This window comes from Homo sapiens, chromosome 1 (genome assembly GCF_000001405.40).
Source record: "Homo sapiens chromosome 1, GRCh38.p14 Primary Assembly".
NCBI classification, from domain to species: Eukaryota; Metazoa; Chordata; class Mammalia; order Primates; family Hominidae; genus Homo; species Homo sapiens.
In genome coordinates, this window is record NC_000001.11 from 226,953,538 (window position 1) to 226,970,584 (window position 17,047).

Genomic DNA, 17,047 nt, shown 5'->3' on the forward strand with positions numbered 1-17,047 from the left:
AGCTCTGAGAGCCCAGCCCTGGGGTAGACTCTTGAGTACAGGCTCCTGGGCTCCCGCTGTGAAGGTCTCACTCAGCAGGCCTGTGCTGGGGCTCACTGACGGGGGAAGGACGGAGGCTTTTTTCCCTCTTTCTCATCTCCTGGGTTCTTCATGTGTTCAGTTGTCTTTGAAAACTGGTAGCAGGTGAGGATATTTCAGGACCTACTGACAGAGACCCTGAAGCTGGACCTCGCGAGATAGAAGCCGGGAGTTGCCCGAGATGTTTGAGTGATGCTCCCTGGTGTGTGATCATAAAGACTGAGGTGAAGGTTACATCTAAAGAGACTCATGGAGTTTGGTTCAGAAGTTTGAAGTCTTTGCCCCAACACATACATTCTTGTGAGTCCTTGGAGGAAACAGTCAATTGTTTTCTTTTTCTAAGAGTAAAAAAGGAAAAATTTCAAGGACGTAAAGGAATGTTTCAGTGCCCACACAGGCTAGAAATTGAGAATGTTCATGCCCAAAGTGAAAAGACAGTTCCTGGCTGGGAGGGGGGCAGAAGGCCACTGCCAGCCCCTCAGGGTATCCTGAATATCATTAAACAGTCCTTGCCAAAGCATCCTTGAATTGACAGTCTTGAGAGCCTTTGGAGGTCTGCTCTGTGGGTCACGGTCTCTAAGCTCATTCACTTTTGATTTCCTTTTTCTGTTTCTTGAAGAATAATGGAAAAAGAAGGGGCAGGTGGAAGACTTCCGCCTAAGGGCAAAGCCAGACTCTTGGGAAGAGGGTTTCAGGGGGAGACTCTTAGGAAAGGGTCTCTGTGGAGGCATCCTGCCTGGCCATAGGCATGGGCCACCTCTGCTCCCCTTCCCTCTCTTCCTCCAGAACCGGGGTTCTCAAAGTAAGTTCCTGGGACCTGCAGTGTCAGCAGCACCTGGGAACTTGTTAGAGATGCAGATTCCCGGGCCCCACCCCAGACCTGCTGAGACGGAACCCTTAGGGGTGTGGCCCAGCACTCTGGACTCGTCTTAAGGTGATTGAGACGTTCGCAGCAGCTTGAGGACCAGTGCCTCAGACCAGCCTCCTGAGAGGCCCTTGATTCTGTATGTGGAGTAAAAGTTGCCAGCAAGTGTGAGCCAGCCAGAGAATAGCAGGCTTTCTCAAACTTTGGAGGGACCAGCTGAGTTCATTTCCTTTGGCAAATATTAATGACCTGTCTGCTCAATCCTGAGCATGGTGTTCGGTGCTGGAGAGAGGAAGACAGATGTGGTCCTTGTCCTATGGCTGATGGTCCTTGTAGTCCTTGTCCTGTGGCTGATATCCGACTGGGGAGAGAGTTAGGCAGATTCAGGAAGTGGTCACTGCTGTGCTGGAGGGGATGGGCACAGGGTGCTGGGAGGCATGTTGGGGAAGCCTTCCCAGAAGAGGTGATGTTGGTGCTGAGATCCGGGAGGAGGAGAGGAGGTGTGCCCCCTCTGCACAGGCCTGCAGGAGGAAGCCTCTCTGGTTCCAGGAGTGGGTTGGCCTGGCTGGAACCTAAAGGCAGTGGAGGGAAGGGCAGAGCCATGGTGAACGGTTGCTGCATCACCCAGTGGGAATATCAGATGCTTGAGGGCAAGGGAGGAGGCTTGAAAGAAGCGTATGGTGGCCACATTCCTCAGGGTGGGAGCCCTGGGAGGATGAGGTGTGGGTGGTAAGGTCAGTTTGGGACGTACTTCCTATAGGAGGTACCTATAGGTGGTTGGGGTGCTAGGCTTGCAGCAGACAGCTGCCCTGGGGAAGGCTTCTCAGCGTGGACTCTCCCTGACTCCCACTCTCCCTGGCTCCCGCTTTTCCTGGTTCACTCTCCCTGGCTCCCACTCTCCCTGGCTCCCACTCTCCCTGGCTGCCACTCTCCCTGGCTGCCACTCTCCCTGGTTCACACTCTCCTTGGCTGCCACTCTCCCTGGCTCCTACTCTCCCTGGCTGCCACTCTCTCTGGCTGCCACTCCCTGGTTCACACTCTCCCTGGCTCCCACTCTCCCTGGTTCACACTCTCCCTGGCTCCCACTCCCTGGGTTCACACTCTCCCTGGCTGTCACTCCCTGGTTCACACTCTCCCTGGCTCCCATTCTCCCTGGCTCCCACTCTCCCTGGTTCCCATTCTCCCTGGTTCCCGCTCTCCCTGGCTCCCACTCTCCCTGGCTCCCACTCCCTGGTTCACACTCTCCCTGGCTCCCACTCTCCCTGGTTCACACTCTCCCTGGCTCCCACTCCCTGGTTCACACTCTCCCTGGCTCCCACTCTCCCTGGTTCACACTCTCCCTGGCTCCCACTCCCTGGTTCACACTCTCCCTGGCTCTCACTCTCCCTGGTTCACACTCTCCCTGGCTGCCACTCTCCCTGGCTGCCACTCCCTGGTTCACACTCTCCCTGGTTCCCATTCTCCCTGGTTCCCGCTCTCCCTGATTCACACTCTCCCTGGCTGCCACTCCCTGGTTCACACTCTCCCTGGCTCCCACTCTCCCTGGTTCACACTCTCCCTGGCTCTCACTCTCCCTGGCTCCCACTCTCCCTGGTTCCCACTCTCCCTGGTTCACACTCTCCCTGGCTCTCACTCTCCCTGGTTCACACTCTCCCTGGTTCCCATTCTCCCTGGTTCACACTCTCCCTGGTTCCCGCTCTCCCTGATTCACACTCTCCCTGGCTGCCACTCTCCCTGGCTGCCACTCCCTGGTTCACACTCTCCCTGGCTCCCACTCTCCCTGGTTCACACTCTCCCTGGCTTCCACTCTCCCTGGTTCACACTCTCCCTGGCTCTCACTCTCCCTGGTTCACACTCTCCCTGGCTCCCACTCTCCCTGGTTCCCACTCTCCGTGGTTCACACTCTCCCTGGTTCCCATTCTCCCTGGTTCCCGCTCTCCCTGATTCACACTCTCCCTGGCTGCCACTCTCCCTGGCTGCCACTCCCTGGTTCACACTCTCCCTGGCTCCCACTCTCCCTGGTTCACACTCTCCCTGGCTCCCACTCCCTGGTTCACACTCTCCCTGGCTCCCACTCTCCCTGGTTCACACTCTCCCTGGCTCCCACTCCCTGGTTCACACTCTCCCTGGCTCTCACTCTCCCTGGTTCACACTCTCCCTGGCTGCCACTCTCCCTGGCTGCCACTCCCTGGTTCACACTCTCCCTGGCTCCCACTCTCCCTGGTTCACACTCTCCCTGGCTGCCACTCCCTGGTTCACACTCTCCCTGGCTGCCACTCCCTGGTTCACACTCTCCCTGGCTCCCACTCTCCCTCGTTCACACTCTCCCTGGCTGCCACTCCCTGGTTCACACTCTCCCTGGCTCTCACTCTCCCTGGTTCACACTCTCCCTGGCTCCCACTCTCCCTGGTTCACACTCTCCCTGGCTCCCACTCCCTGGTTCACACTCTCCCTGGCTCTCACTCTCCCTGGTTCACACTCTCCCTGGCTGCCACTCTCCCTGGCTGCCACTCCCTGGTTCACACTCTCCCTGGCTGCCACTCCCTCGTTCACACTCTCCCTGGCTCCCACTCTCCCTGATTCACACTCTCCCTGGCTGCCACTCCCTGGTTCACACTCTCCCTGGCTCTCACTCTCCCTGGTTCACACTTTCCCTGGCTCCTGCTCTCCCTGGCTTCCGCTCTCCCTGGCTTCTGCTCTCCCTGACTCCCGCTCTCCCTGGCTCCTACTCTCCCTGGTTCACACTCTCCCTAGTTCACACTCTCCCTGGCTCCTACTCTCCCAGATTCACACTCTCCCTGCCCCCCCCCCCCCACCTCCCTGGTTCACACTTTGCCCAGAAGAAAGGCTTTTTGTGCCACTTGCTTCTAGCTTCTTATACCAGTCATGTCTAGGCTTTGGTGGCAGATATGACTGCAAGAGACTTCAGGACAGTGGGTCCTTGGCTTTTAGAACAGACACCATGCTTTGCTGGGGAGGAGCTGGTTTATAATGCTGTGCTCTGTATTTACGGAGGAGATTGAACAGTGGCTTGGTAATGCAGATGACGTCCCTGGCCTGCTGTCATAGAGGAGATGAGTGACAGACAGTGAGTTTTGGCTGTGAAGGGGGGACTTGGAGTGTATAAGGGATCCTCAGAGTAAAATTCCTTCCTTCTGGTGGGTCCTGAGTGGACAGTGTGTGATAATCTCATCTGCCGTCTGTCAGGATTGACTGTTGAATTCATTTTTAAAAAGGACACAACTCATTTTCCTATTGATATATCTTCTTGTATCTGGCCGGTTAGACAGCCCGTGGGGGTGTCTTTTGGTTTTGGAGACTAGATTTGAAGGTCCCCATGACCCAAATAATTTCCAGCTCGTGTGCAGGTCAGGATCCCCGAGTCGGAGCCTTGTCTCCAGCATGAGTGAGACGGTGTCCCTGAAAGGTCAGAGAGTGAAAGTTTGGCCAGAAAACACCCTCCTGTGGTGGGAACACAGCCTTGTGCAGCTTTCCTAACCCCTGTCCGTGGGGTTGGGAAGCTGCATTTATCACGGTTCTTTTTCTCTCTAGACACTTCAATAAAGACATTTATTTACTTTAATCGTGATCCCAACTCCATCGTGCTCAACTAGTCACCGAACCAGCATCAACTCCATTAATAGTCCTAATAATAAAGCCCCTCAGATGTCAATATTTGATCCTCATGTTTCAGGATACTCCTCAGTAGCCATCGCCATAGTATAGCCAAAAATAACCGTCATGCCACCCAAATAAATAAAAAAGACTATCAACCCCACAAAAGCCCGTTAGAGCAGGTTAGCACATTAGGACCAGAAAAGGGGTCTGATGAGGCACCCAGAGCCCTTCCGTACTGAGCTACTGAGGAGGGGGGAAGAGGTTGAGCCACACGCTGGGCAGCGGCAGCTGGTGGGTATGGGCCTGGAGTCTCACGTCCCGGCTCCAGGTCGTCGCTTCCACTCTGCCTCCGATCCTGGCGTGTCAGCATCAGTTGGCCCCTAGCTGTCTCCCTGGTGTCTGTGCCCATTATAGAGGTACGGGCATGCCACGCTGCCATGAGCCCTGGGCCAGGGCAGGTTCATCGGGGCCTGCAGGAACTAGCCCAGAGCCCTGGGAGAGGTCAGTGAACTTGTGTTGAAGGAACCTCCGGTTGACTTTTTATTTTGGTTTCATGCCTGGCTAGTGGACACTCCCAAACATGAGCACCTGTCTCCCACCCCCACTGCTTTATCATTTATGGTCACTCTTTTGGCTGCCCCTCCTCAGAGGAGAGCAGGCAGGCACACGGAGGCCTTCAGGAGGCTGCTGTACCAAGGAGGCACAGAGCCCAAACACTTCATTTCAGTTACTCACAGGCGAGACCCCCAAAACGTGCTCATGGAGCAGCAGGAAGAAGTAGGGTAGGTGGGAGACTGGTGTTCCTAGCGAGGGCCTGGTACTTGCAGATGAAGTCACGGTGCTGATAGGATTTTTAACTTGTGTATTACATGGTTTGAGGGCTTTTATTTCTTTAAAATCATGATGAAAATACCTCCTGGTGTAGCTGTGTGCCTGGTTCTTGGTACACCCCTGGAAGGGATTTGCAGCGAAATTGTGGGATCGTTGAATTATGAGGCACTTTGGGATTGTGGTGCATTAGAAGTAGGATTTTAAGACCTAAGTTTTGAAAACAGAAGGTGAGAAAAGTTCTGGACAGATGTTTCCTTCTGGTAGTTATTCCCCTTCCCTCCTTTCTACTTCTGTGAGAGCGTAGACTCCCTTGCAGAAAAATACCTGGTCTTAAGCTGGCATGGTGGTGCAGGCCTGTAATTCCAGCTGCTTGAGAGCCTGAGGTGGGAGGATCAGTTGAGCCTTGGAATTTGAGGCTGTAGGGTGCCATGATTATGCCTGTGAACAGCCTTGACACTCCAGCCCGGGCAACATAGTGAGACCCCTCTCTTAAAAAAAAAAAAAGTACCTGATGTTGATGAGGTGTGAAGGGTTCACTTTGCATGGTAAGGGGAGGTGTGGGTGTGGCCCCTAAACAGTAGGTCAGCGATATTTGTCAAAGGGGGGTGGGTACAGGCTGTGGTTTTGAAATGAGTCTACATGTTAGTCTGCTCACAAATGACAGACTGTGTTTATTAGCAGCATCTGTTTATTAGCAGTCTGTGTTTATTGATTTGAGAAGAACAGGTTTTGCATCCCAGTATGCAGGACCACATATCTATGGGGTATTTCCCCTATTGGGCCCTCCTTCCAGCGGAGTGGGTGCTCACCATCTCTGCTTCCTGGCTCTGGCGCCACTGTCTAGGGTGGGGCTTGGCACCAGTTGGGAGTTCACTGGGTATGTAGGATGCAACTGTTTAGGTAGGAAGAAAGACACAACCAAGTACTGTTCAGTGTGTACTTTTTTAGATGGCTTATATATTTGCCACTTTGAAAGTAGGACAAGTGAACTAAGAAAGCTACCCACAGTGCTCCTTGATGCTTCCTTTTTGATTCTGCATCATGTGGTAGTGCTTGGTGGTGTTGGTGCTTGGTGGTGGTGTTGGTGCTTGGTGGTGGTGGTGGTAGTGGTACTTGGTGGTGGTGGTACTTGGTGGTAGTGGTGGTACTTGGTGGTGGTGGTGGTGATGGTACTTGGTGGTGGTGGTGGTAGTGGTACTTGGTGGTGGTGGTACTTGGTGGTAGTGGTGGTACTTGGTGGTGGTGGTGGTGATGGTACTTGTGGTGGTGGTACTTGGTGGTGGTGGTGGTGGTGATGGTACTTGGTGGTGGTGGTCCTTGGTGGTGGTGGTGGTGGTACTTGGTGGCGGTGGTACTTGGTGGTGGTACTTGGTGGTGGTGGCGGTACTTGGTGGTGGTATCAGTGGTACTTGGTGGTGGTGGTGGTGGTGCTTGGTGGTGGTGGTGGTACTTGGTGGTGTCAGTGGTGGTACTTGGTGGTGGCGGTGGTACTTGGTGGTGGTACTTGGTGGTACTTGGTGGTGGTGGCAGTACTTGGTGGTGGTGGCAGTGGTACTTGGTGGTGGTGGTGGTGCTTGGTGGTGGTGGTGGTGCTTGGTGGTGGTGGTTGTACTTGGTGGTGGTGTCAATGGTACTTGGTGGTGGTGGTGGTGCTTGGTGGTGGTGGTGGCGGCAGTGGCGGTGGTGATGGTGGTGGTGGTGGTGGTGGTGGTAGTGGTGCTTGGTGGTGGTGGTGGTTGTTCATTTCTTTTGAATGGTGGTTAGGATCTTCCAAATTATTGCACTGTGGGTCTGGACTGCAGTTTGAAAACATTGGTTTGGTGAATAGTTGAAGCTGAGGGTGGGCTGACCCTGAGGGGTCAGGGAGGGGCTCTGGTTGTCCCTTGGTCTATGGATATCCGTCACAGGCCTCACTGGGCAGAGCAATGGTGGCTGGGCAGGGACAGGCAGCCTCAGCCCCTGTGGGTTTGGGTTGGAGCACCAATGCCGTGAGTGGTCCCTTGGACCTTGCAGGGAAGTTCTTTGGGAATTGGATGCTCCTCTCCCAACAGGCAGTTTTGGTCCAGAGGGATGAACCCTAGACTGGGAGTCTGTGCGCCTGACTCAAGTCCTGGTTCTGCTGCGAATCATGAATCACGCCACCTGTCTGTGCCTCAGGTTTTCCGTAGGGTGCTTGTGAGGCCCAGGTGAGGAAATGTGTGGGAAGCAGCAAGCACACCGCACCACTGACTCAACGGCCTTTATTCTGCTCCATTCCCCTGGAGTGTCCAGAGTCACGTGGAGCCTCCCTTGAGCCCTGGGCCCTTTCTTATCTCTTAGCAGAAGGGGAGATCAGTGGAAAAACCAGCCCTCTGGACCTTCTGCTCAGAGTTTGGTGTGGAGTTGGTAGTGTGGGTTTGGCCTGCAGAGGCCTGGGGCCTCCCCTGACTTGGCCTCCTCTCTTCCAGCCCTGAAGGATGGCTGCCATATTGGGAGACACCATCATGGTGGCTAAAGGCCTTGTCAAGCTGACCCAGGCGGCCGTGGAAACCCACCTGCAGCACTTGGGCATCGGAGGGGAGCTGATCATGGCGGCCAGGGCCCTGCAGTCCACGGCTGTGGAGCAGATTGGCATGTTCTTGGGGAAGGTGCAGGTAAGGGGGCCTGGCAGTGGGAGGGGTGCTGGCAGGAAGAGGGTGGGACCTGGAGCTCTGGGGGAGACCAAGGGCTGTGACCATGGCAACTGGTCTTTGGTGGCCAGGGCCTGAGGGCCCACCAGCTAATGTGTCCCACGGTCCTTCCAGGGTGGGACAGGGCCCCTGTGTGAGGCTGTGGCAACTATAACAGAATTCCATAGACTGGTGGCTTAAACAATGCACGCTTATTTCTCAAAGTTCTAAAGACTGGAAAGTCCAATATTAAGGTGCCAGAAGATTCAGTGTCTGGTGAGGGCCTGTTTCCTAATCCATAGATGGCCATCTTCTCACTGTGTCCTCATGGGGCAGGAGGAGGGCAAGGCTGCTCTCTAGGGCCTGTGTTATGAGGGCACCAATCCCATTGAGGAGGGCTTCATTCTCATGACTTAATTACTTCCCAAAGGCCCCACCTCCCAATACTATCACACTAGGGGCTAGGTTTCAGTGTGTGCACTTTGGAGACACACAATGCAGTTTTTACTGGGGCCCATGTGTCCATCAGCCTGGCTCAGCCTTCGAAGGCCCTTCCCACTGAGCCTGCTGAGCCTCCGCCAAGGCCTGGCCTCATTTTTCTCCTTCAGTTTGCTGAGGGTCTCTGCACTCCTGACTGGGGGCCCTCCTTTCCTTGGTGGCAGCTGGCACAGCCCTTCCAAGAACAGCTTCATCTCCAGCCTCTCTCTCATCCCTGTGCCATCTAGGGGAGGAGATGACCTTTTGTGCCAAGGTCCAGGAAGCCTTGATGTCTTACCTCCAAGGGGTGATTTTCAGTGAAATCGTGTGCTGGAGAGGTGACTATAGACAGGGCTGGCTACAGCAGAGCACGGCCCACCATGGCGTCACCTTGCACAGTTGCCAGCAGCTTCCCTGACAGTCAAGGAGACAGGGTGGGGGGTGTTTGTGTGCCTGTTGCGCGTGTGCACCTGTGTGTGTGCGCTTAGGCATGTGTGCATTGGAGGTTGTGTCGCAGCTTCTCTCCTTCCACGTCTGTTCTGTGGATGGCTGATTTCTGGACAAAGGTCACCGCCCTCCTGCAGGCTGTGAGGCCGTCGCAGCCCCCAGGCATCTCAGTCTCAGGTTTAGGACCTGCAGGCCCTTCCCTGCCGCTCTGGGAGGATCCCACAGTGATACAGTGGCTGTCACCAAGCATACCTGCCTTTAATGTTCAGAAGTCCTCACACCTGTGCTCTCCCCCGAGCCTCACCACTGTCCTGGGATGGGGGCCAGCCTGGACCATCACACCCATTTCTCAGATGAGGAAACTGAGGTGAAGCAATTTGCTGCAGGACTCATAACGAGTGACAGGACCAGAATTCTTGTCCCCTCCCAGCCTGGACTCCATGCTCTTGCCCTCCCCTTGCCTGATTTGGTGCCTGAGTGTGGGGCCTCGGCCTCGCTCTTGGGTGTTTTGCCTGTGGGACACTCAGAAAGTGAGGTTGCCCAGCTCACTTGGGCCTGCCCAGGAGTGGGACAGCCTGGACAGGCCTTAGCCCTAATGGCGAGCAGGGCCTCCTACTCGGGCACTCTCCAACCCTCTGCTCCCAAAGCATGTCTGGAAGGGGCAGGGCTTCCCCATCAGTCACTCGGAGGTAGGGCTGAGTGACGAGCCACACCACCCAGGAGGCACGGGAGCAGGGTAGGCACCGGAGCAGGGTGGCTGCCCGCAGTGCGCTGCCATTCACTCCCTCAGTGCTTCGCTTTTCCGTGTCTCCCTTCTCGCGAGGGGAGGAAGGTCACGGACTCCAGGATCCTGTCTCCCTCCAGCCCCTCAAGGTTGCTTCCACATTCATTCAGCAGATACTTACTGAGTCCGGGTCCCTTCGGGGCCCTGGGGACCCCCCCACTGGCCTTGGGCTTCCACAGTGACACCGACAGGTGTTAGTAGCACAGGGCCAGGGGACCATCATGGGAGTGATGGGGCAGAAGGAGGGCCCTGCCCAGGCTCCCTCACTGTCAAGCCTTCCCTGGGGGCTCTGTGAATTTAAATATGACTTCTGTGGTTTTTTATTTTTTATTTTTTTGAGATGGAGTCTTGCTCCATTGCTCAGGCTAGAGTGCAGTGGCGCAATCTCTGCTCACTGCAACCTCCGCCTCCCAGGTTCAAGCGATTCTCCTGCCTCAGCCTCCTGAGTAGCTGGGATTACAGGTGCCTGCCACCACGCCTGGCTAATTTTTGTATTTTTAGTAGAGATGGGGTTTCGCCATGTTGGCCAGGCTGGTCTCGAACTCCTGACCTCAGGTGATCTGCCTGCTTCATCCTCCCAAAGTGCTGGGATTACAGGTGTGAGCCATCGCACTGGCATAAATACAACTTGTTTCTACTCTGAGAGTAGTGCCACAGCCAGCAGGGCCAGCCTGGGTGTTGGATCCCGGCTCTGTCATTTGCTGCCTGGTGACCTTCACCAGCACATCAGCCGTCTTTGCCTCAGTTTCCTGTTTTTGAAATGAGTGTAACAGCCTGTCTCTCTCCTCCCTCCCATCCTGTGACATCTTAGACAGCAGAACGTGAGGCTTGGGTATCCTGCTGTCTGCATACCCTGCGCATTTCATTTGTTTCAGTTGAAGCCGAGAATCCAGGCCACTGGTCTCCCTCTAGAAGCCGGTGCTGTTCTAATTATAGGCTCCTGGGTGCTGTTTCCTGGCCCTGTCTGTGGCCTCCAGTAACTGTGACTGTGAGGAGCCCTATTTTCAGATGAGGAAGTAGCAGAGAAGGGTCAGGAGCTCACTCAAGGTCACTCCTGGTTCAGAAGCAGAAAGGACCTGGGCCCGAAGCTCAGGCCTTGGTGACCATCACAAAGAAAACATGGCGTATCCTCTCCCCTGCCCCTCCATTTCCCTGTACCCTGAGCTCTTAGGGACGGCCAGGCCTGGTCCTGGTTGTAACCACCTCTCCAGTGAGGATCTCTTACATGCATACCCCGGCTGGTGGGTGGCATCCATGTCTGCAGTAAGCTGTGGGCTTAGGTGGGCCCGTCGGTGTGCTTCCCTCACCCCTTGCTGGCCTTAGGCTGTGTGTTCACCTCTCAGAGCTTTCCCTGTCTTTTGCGCCCTGGTTTACCATCTCCAAAGCCCTGGAGGCCTTCTTGGCCCTGTTTTATAGGTGAGGAACCCGCTGCGGGCGTAGTGTGCACTTGGCCTGGCCCCGGCTGGGCACACAGTAGGTGCTCAGTGTCCCACCTAGGACCACACAGCAGAGCCCCAACAGAAGCAGGGCTGGAGCCCAGGTCCCGGCTCCCAGGCTGGGAAGGGTGCCGGGCCTCAGGTGCAGCACTGTGCCACCTCTGGAGGTGGGAGGGGGCGGGATGCTGGTGGTGTGCTGTCCTGGGCAGCAGGGGACAGGCAGGGAGGAGCTCCTGGCTCGCTCTTGCTCTCCTAATGCTGGCCTTTGCTCCCTGCAGGGTCAGGATAAACATGAAGAATATTTTGCTGAGAACTTCGGCGGCCCAGAAGGGGAGTTCCACTTCTCAGTCCCGCATGCAGCCGGAGCCTCCACAGACTTCTCTTCAGCCTCCGCTCCCGACCAGTCAGCGCCCCCATCCCTGGGTCATGCCCACAGCGAGGGCCCAGCTCCTGCCTACGTGGCCAGTGGACCCTTTAGAGAAGCCGGGTTCCCCGGCCAGGCCTCCTCCCCTCTGGGCAGGGCCAACGGGAGGCTCTTTGCAAACCCCAGAGACTCATTCTCTGCCATGGGCTTTCAGCGAAGGTTCTTCCACCAGGACCAATCCCCTGTTGGGGGCCTCACAGCCGAGGACATTGAGAAGGCCCGGCAGGCTAAGGCTCGCCCCGAGAACAAGCAGCACAAACAGACGGTGCGTATGGGAGGCCCCTGGAGGGCCGAGGTAGCTGCCACCCACAGCAGTGATGGCCTTGGGCTCTGCTCTAGGGACTTTTCCTGGGTGCTGTGGTCTGGGGTTTTTAGGAGCGTGGTGGCCTTCTCTTGGTGGAGTGTGCTGTCAGGCGGAGCTGCTGACTGTGGGGTGGAGAGGAGATGTGGGGGCAACAGGAGCCTCTGAAGGTTGGTCCTGTCCCCTTGGCTGATTCCACAGGTCTCTTTCTCGTCTCCCTCCAGCTCAGCGAGCATGCCCGGGAGCGGAAGGTGCCTGTGACGAGGATTGGCCGGCTGGCCAACTTCGGAGGTAAGGTGGCTGTGTGCCCCTGGACTGCCTCACCTGCCCTGCCTGGGCACCACGCTGCGGCCTGCATGGAGGTGGGGACCCAGCAATATCCCGGGGAGGGCGTTGGGGGAGCAGGTGGCGGTGGCCGCCCCTGCATGAGCTTTTGGGGAGCTGGAGTTTTTCATGGGAGGATGATTCAGTTACTGGATTCCAGCTCTGCCTGGCTCTCCCCTGCGGGTTGGTACAGGGCCGATGCTGTGCCAGGAGCTGAGTTTGGATTGCCCGGCAGGCCTCGCCTGGAGGCGGTGTCTGCAGCATCTCTGTTTCACCCCTGCCTCAGGTTCACTACCAGTCGGCTGCTTTGGAGGCCTCTCAGGAAGGAGGCTGGGCAGTGAGGAAAAGCTCTTCCCTGGGGCTGTTCAGCAACTCAGCAGGGCTTTCTTTCCCCCTGGGACCAGACATTTAGGGAGCCCATTTGCTGGGTCCCCACAGGCCTGCGGCTCATGAGTGGAGTGACAAGATGCCATGGCCTCCAGCTGCTGCTGTTTAAAGCCGTTTGTCTGTACTTTGGGGGGTTGAGTTGTCATTGTGCCCAGTACACATGCGCTCTTTTTATAGAAGTTGAAGGGTGATTTTATAGTGAAGGTTTATAGCAGTTGTGTCTGCTTTGATGGCATCATGTTTGTCATGCTGCTGCTAATGCGCTGGCCCAGATGTTCCTGTTAAAGTGCCATCTCCTTTGCTGTGGTACACTCTAAGTTAGTTACTGGGATTGCATTTCTTTAACACTCAGCTGTCCTCAGTAGGTTCTCCAGGTGATATAATTAATGGAAGCCACAGTTTTGGTGGCTTGATTTGGACCCTGACCTTGGGTGAGTGGTTAGTTCCAGGGCTGTAGGCAGCAGAGGTCTGAGTGGTCCATGATGGTGCTGGTGCTGGGTGGGGCATGGAGATGCACTCTCATGGGTCTGCCTGTCTCTTTGCTGGTTTATGTTTTTCCTCCCATACACCATCCATCATACATGCTGTTCCTCCGCTCCTGCCTATTCTCTTTTGGAAACCCCATCCTACTTGTTCAAGACTGGTTCTGGGCAGAGGCTCACGTACTGTGCTCCCCGAGAGCCTGGTATTCTGGGAGCTGCGTAATGTGTGTGGGTTCTGACATTGAATGATGGCTGGCCCCCCTCTCCAAGGTGCTGAGCAGACTTGGTTAACTGGATAGAATTTTCTCAGCAGTAAGGTTTTCTTTCATAATTTTTACCTTAATATTTGGCATCCACTGTACTTAGCCATTCAGGAATTTAGTATGAAGTGTCATCTATGTGACAGCCAAGAGTATTTGCTTATTTCCTTTTCCTGGGGTAACATTTCAAGCAGTCCCTCATAGAATATCACACCTCCCTGAGTTCTGCTGTCAGAATGAGTTTGAGAATCACTGCCTTGGTGGCCTCTAGTGGTCCTTATCCCCTGGAAGACTTGGCATGTTACTTGCTTTGCACATTGGCTTGTCATTGGGTAACATGTATTATTTCTTATTAAAATATTGAATGGAGGCTGTCTTCTTTCCCCATGATATTGAGGGCAGGAGCTACCCTGTTTTCACATCGGTACCTTTTCTCTGTCCCCTCCCTCTTCCTTTCACTCTAGACTCTTGGTGAGCCTGTCCCTGGAAGGCTGAGTTTGACGTGTTTCAGGACTGGTGCAGTCCTCACTTCGGAGTCTTTGTGGGGTGGGGAGAAGCGGTAGAGCTAATGCAGGCTGTTAGGGAAAAGTGGTCAGAATGAAAGTCTTGATGGTGAATTAGAATCTGGTGGAGCACCACGAAGTCCTGGCGAAGGAGGCAGTAGTCAGACCCTTTTGGGTGACGGGTTAAGGAAGACAGAGACTGATGTGGAAGGGGTTATATATAGGAAGATGTGTAGGAAGAAAAAGGTAGAGAGCTCTCCTCAGAGGGTGGGGGATTATGGGTAGCCAGAGGGAGCCTGGGTTAGTGGAGTTGAAGCCCTAGTCTTGGGTGCTTTGTAGCATCAGAAGCCTCTGGAGCCTTTGCTGACACCTGCCTGATGTACGGAGCCATCTGTGGGTGTCTGTGTGCTGGAGGATTGCCCACAGCTATGATTCAGAGATGCTCATGTTGTTGCCCAAGCAATTGACAGATGATGTTTCAGGCTTGGAGATGGCAGGATGGGAGCAAAGAGAAGCCAGGTCAGGAAAGAACGTGCCGTTCTGGCCCTAGTGGGGAATTCTGGGCCTTCTGGCTCACCCAGTTGAACCTTTCAAACTGTAGGTTATGACCCTTTAGTAACTGTGAAATTAATTTAATGCATCAGGATCAGCATATAAAAAACAAGTTAACTGTAATCTCAGCACTTTGGGAGGCCGAGGTGGGAGAATCACCTGAGGTCAGGAGTTTGAGACCAGCCTGGCCAACATGGTGAAACCCCAATTCCTACTAAAAAAATACAAAAATTAGCTAGGTGTGGTGGCATGTGACTGTAATCCCAGCTACTCGGGAGGCTGAGGCACAAGAATTGCTTGAGCCCAGGAGGGAGAGGTTGCAGTGAGCTGAGATTGCGCCACTGCACTCCAGTGGGGGCGACAGAGTGAGACTCTGTCTCAAAAAACAAGTTAAACAGAATGGAATTCAATAGAAAAGATTAGAATTAATATCGTACATCCTTACAATGAACTATACACATGGCAAGATATTTTAGTTTCAGAGACATACATACTATTTAAGTATGTTCTTCACTACAATGTGAAATATATAGCTTACTGGTGGGTCATCATCCAAACAGTTTGTAGTTGCACTGTTGCGCTTTGTTCTCCTAGAAAATACCTCTAGCCTTTCTTCCCTTCATGGAGGAAAGGTGTTTTTCAGGTGCAGACTGACAGACTTTAGGAAGTTTTTACACGGGGTTATGAAGGAAAGGGATTGCTCTAGGTCTCAGGGAGGTAGGGCTGCTGCAGGGACCCAGACGGGTTTTCAGCGAGGTTGGCAGTAGGTATTCAGCTATATAGAAGTGGAAGTCAAGGACTTTCCAATTCCAGGGGCTCATTTTGATGCTGAAATGGGGGCGGGGCATGAGTCCTAAGTCCAATTTGGCTATGGGACATTATGACTGTGATGCTATGGGCAGGATGATCTGTGGATATTAGATTTTCTTAAAGAGTGGTGTGAAAGAAAGGGTCATATATTGGATATGGGGTCAGAACTGAACTTTAGTTCATCATAATAGCTGTCCTTTGATTACAACTGTGCTTCCAGTGTGACCTTGGGCTCTACCGTGGTTTTCTCTTTTGTAAAATAAGGGTCTTGCCGTTGATTCCAAATGGGAATATTTTGGTAAATGTTCCATGTTTACCTGAAAATAATTCATGTTGAGTGCAGTGATCCGTCTATCTAGTCTGGTTTATTATTCATATTGATCAGATTTTTAAGTGATTTTGGTTTGCTTATTCAATAAGCTATCGAGAGAGGCATTAAAAAGTCTGCTATGATTGTGGATTTACCTACTTTTAGTCTATTGACTTGTGCTTTATATGGTTTGAAGCTATGTTATTTGTTGCCTACAGATTCAGAATTCTTTTTTTTTGTTTGAGACAGAGTCTTGCTCTGTCGCCCAGGCTGGAGTGCAGTGGCACAATCTTGGCTCACTGCAACTTCTGCCTCCTGGGTTCAAGTGATTCTCCTGCCTCAGCCTCCCGAGTAGCTGAGACTACACGTGCGTGATAAGTCTCGATCTCCTGACCTCATGATCCGCCCGCCTCGGCCTCCTAAAGTGCTAGGATTACAGGCGTGAGCCACCGCGCCCGGCCAGATTTAGAATTCTTCTTATATCCTCCTAGGGATTGACCCTTCATTCTTATGTTATGCCTCTTTTCATCTCTGTGAAAGTCCTCATTGTCTGATATTACTATAGCTACATTCCAGCTTTGTTTTGGGTAATGTTTGCATGTTACCTTTTTTTTTTCCCCTGTACTTTCAACTTTTAAAATGTCCTTATGTTTAATGCATATCTATGAGCAGCATATATAGTTGGTTTTTTGTGTGTTTTAAGTGTAGACTGATAATCTTACAATGAGAATATTTAGTCCATTTACATTTAAATGCAATTGTGGATGTATTGGAGTTTATATCTACTACCTTAGTTTTTGTTTGTTTACTATTTGACCTGTCTGTTATGTCCCCCTTTTTCTCACCTGTTTTGCCTTCTTTTAAATTAATCAAGGACTTAAAATTATAGTCATGCGTCTCTCTTTTTTTTTGGAGACAGTCTCGCTCGGTCACCCAGGCTGGAGTGCAGCGGCGTGATCTCGGCTCACAGCAACCTCAGGCAATTCCCATGCCTCAGCCACTCGAATAGCTGGAATTACAGGTGTGTGCTGCCATGCCCGGCTAATTTTTGTAGTTTTAGCGGAGACAGGGTTTTGCCATGTTGGCCAGGCTGTTCTTGAACTCCTGGCCTCAAGTGATCCACCTGCCTCAACCTTCCAAAGTGCTGGGATTAAAGGCATGAGCCACCGCACCTGGCCCTCATGTGTGTCTTAACAAGGATTCAGTCCGAGAAATGTGTCGTTAGGCAGTTTCATCATTGTGTGAACATCATAGAGTGTACTTACACAAACCTAGATGGTATAGCCTGCTACATGCCTAGGCTGTATGGCATAGCCTGTTGCTCCTAGGCTACAAACCTTTACAACATGTTACTGTACTGAATACAGTAGATAACTGTAATACAACGGTATTTGTGTACCTAAACATAGAAAAGGTATAGTAAAAATATGATACAATCTATCACTGTCGTATATGCAGTCCGTTGACTGAAATGTTACATGATGCGTGACCGTGCATGTTCTCTCTTTGT

The 17,047-nt window shown here is 53.2% G+C and overlaps 1 protein-coding gene across 10 annotated transcripts in view; it reads left to right on the plus strand.

Annotated features, from left to right (window-relative positions):
• The window catches only part of COQ8A (coenzyme Q8A), a 47,251-nt gene that overhangs the window by 13,244 nt on the left and 16,960 nt on the right, over positions 1-17,047 (plus strand). For all 10 annotated transcript variants that reach the window (XM_047425745.1, XM_047425732.1, XM_024448517.2 and 7 more), the window contains 3 exons: positions 7,840-8,025; positions 11,463-11,873; positions 12,134-12,200. In XM_047425745.1, the coding sequence (XP_047281701.1) occupies positions 7,849-8,025; positions 11,463-11,873; positions 12,134-12,200 (655 nt within the window). In that variant the 5' untranslated portion in view covers positions 7,840-7,848. The remainder of the gene's footprint in view (positions 1-7,839; positions 8,026-11,462; positions 11,874-12,133; positions 12,201-17,047) is intronic.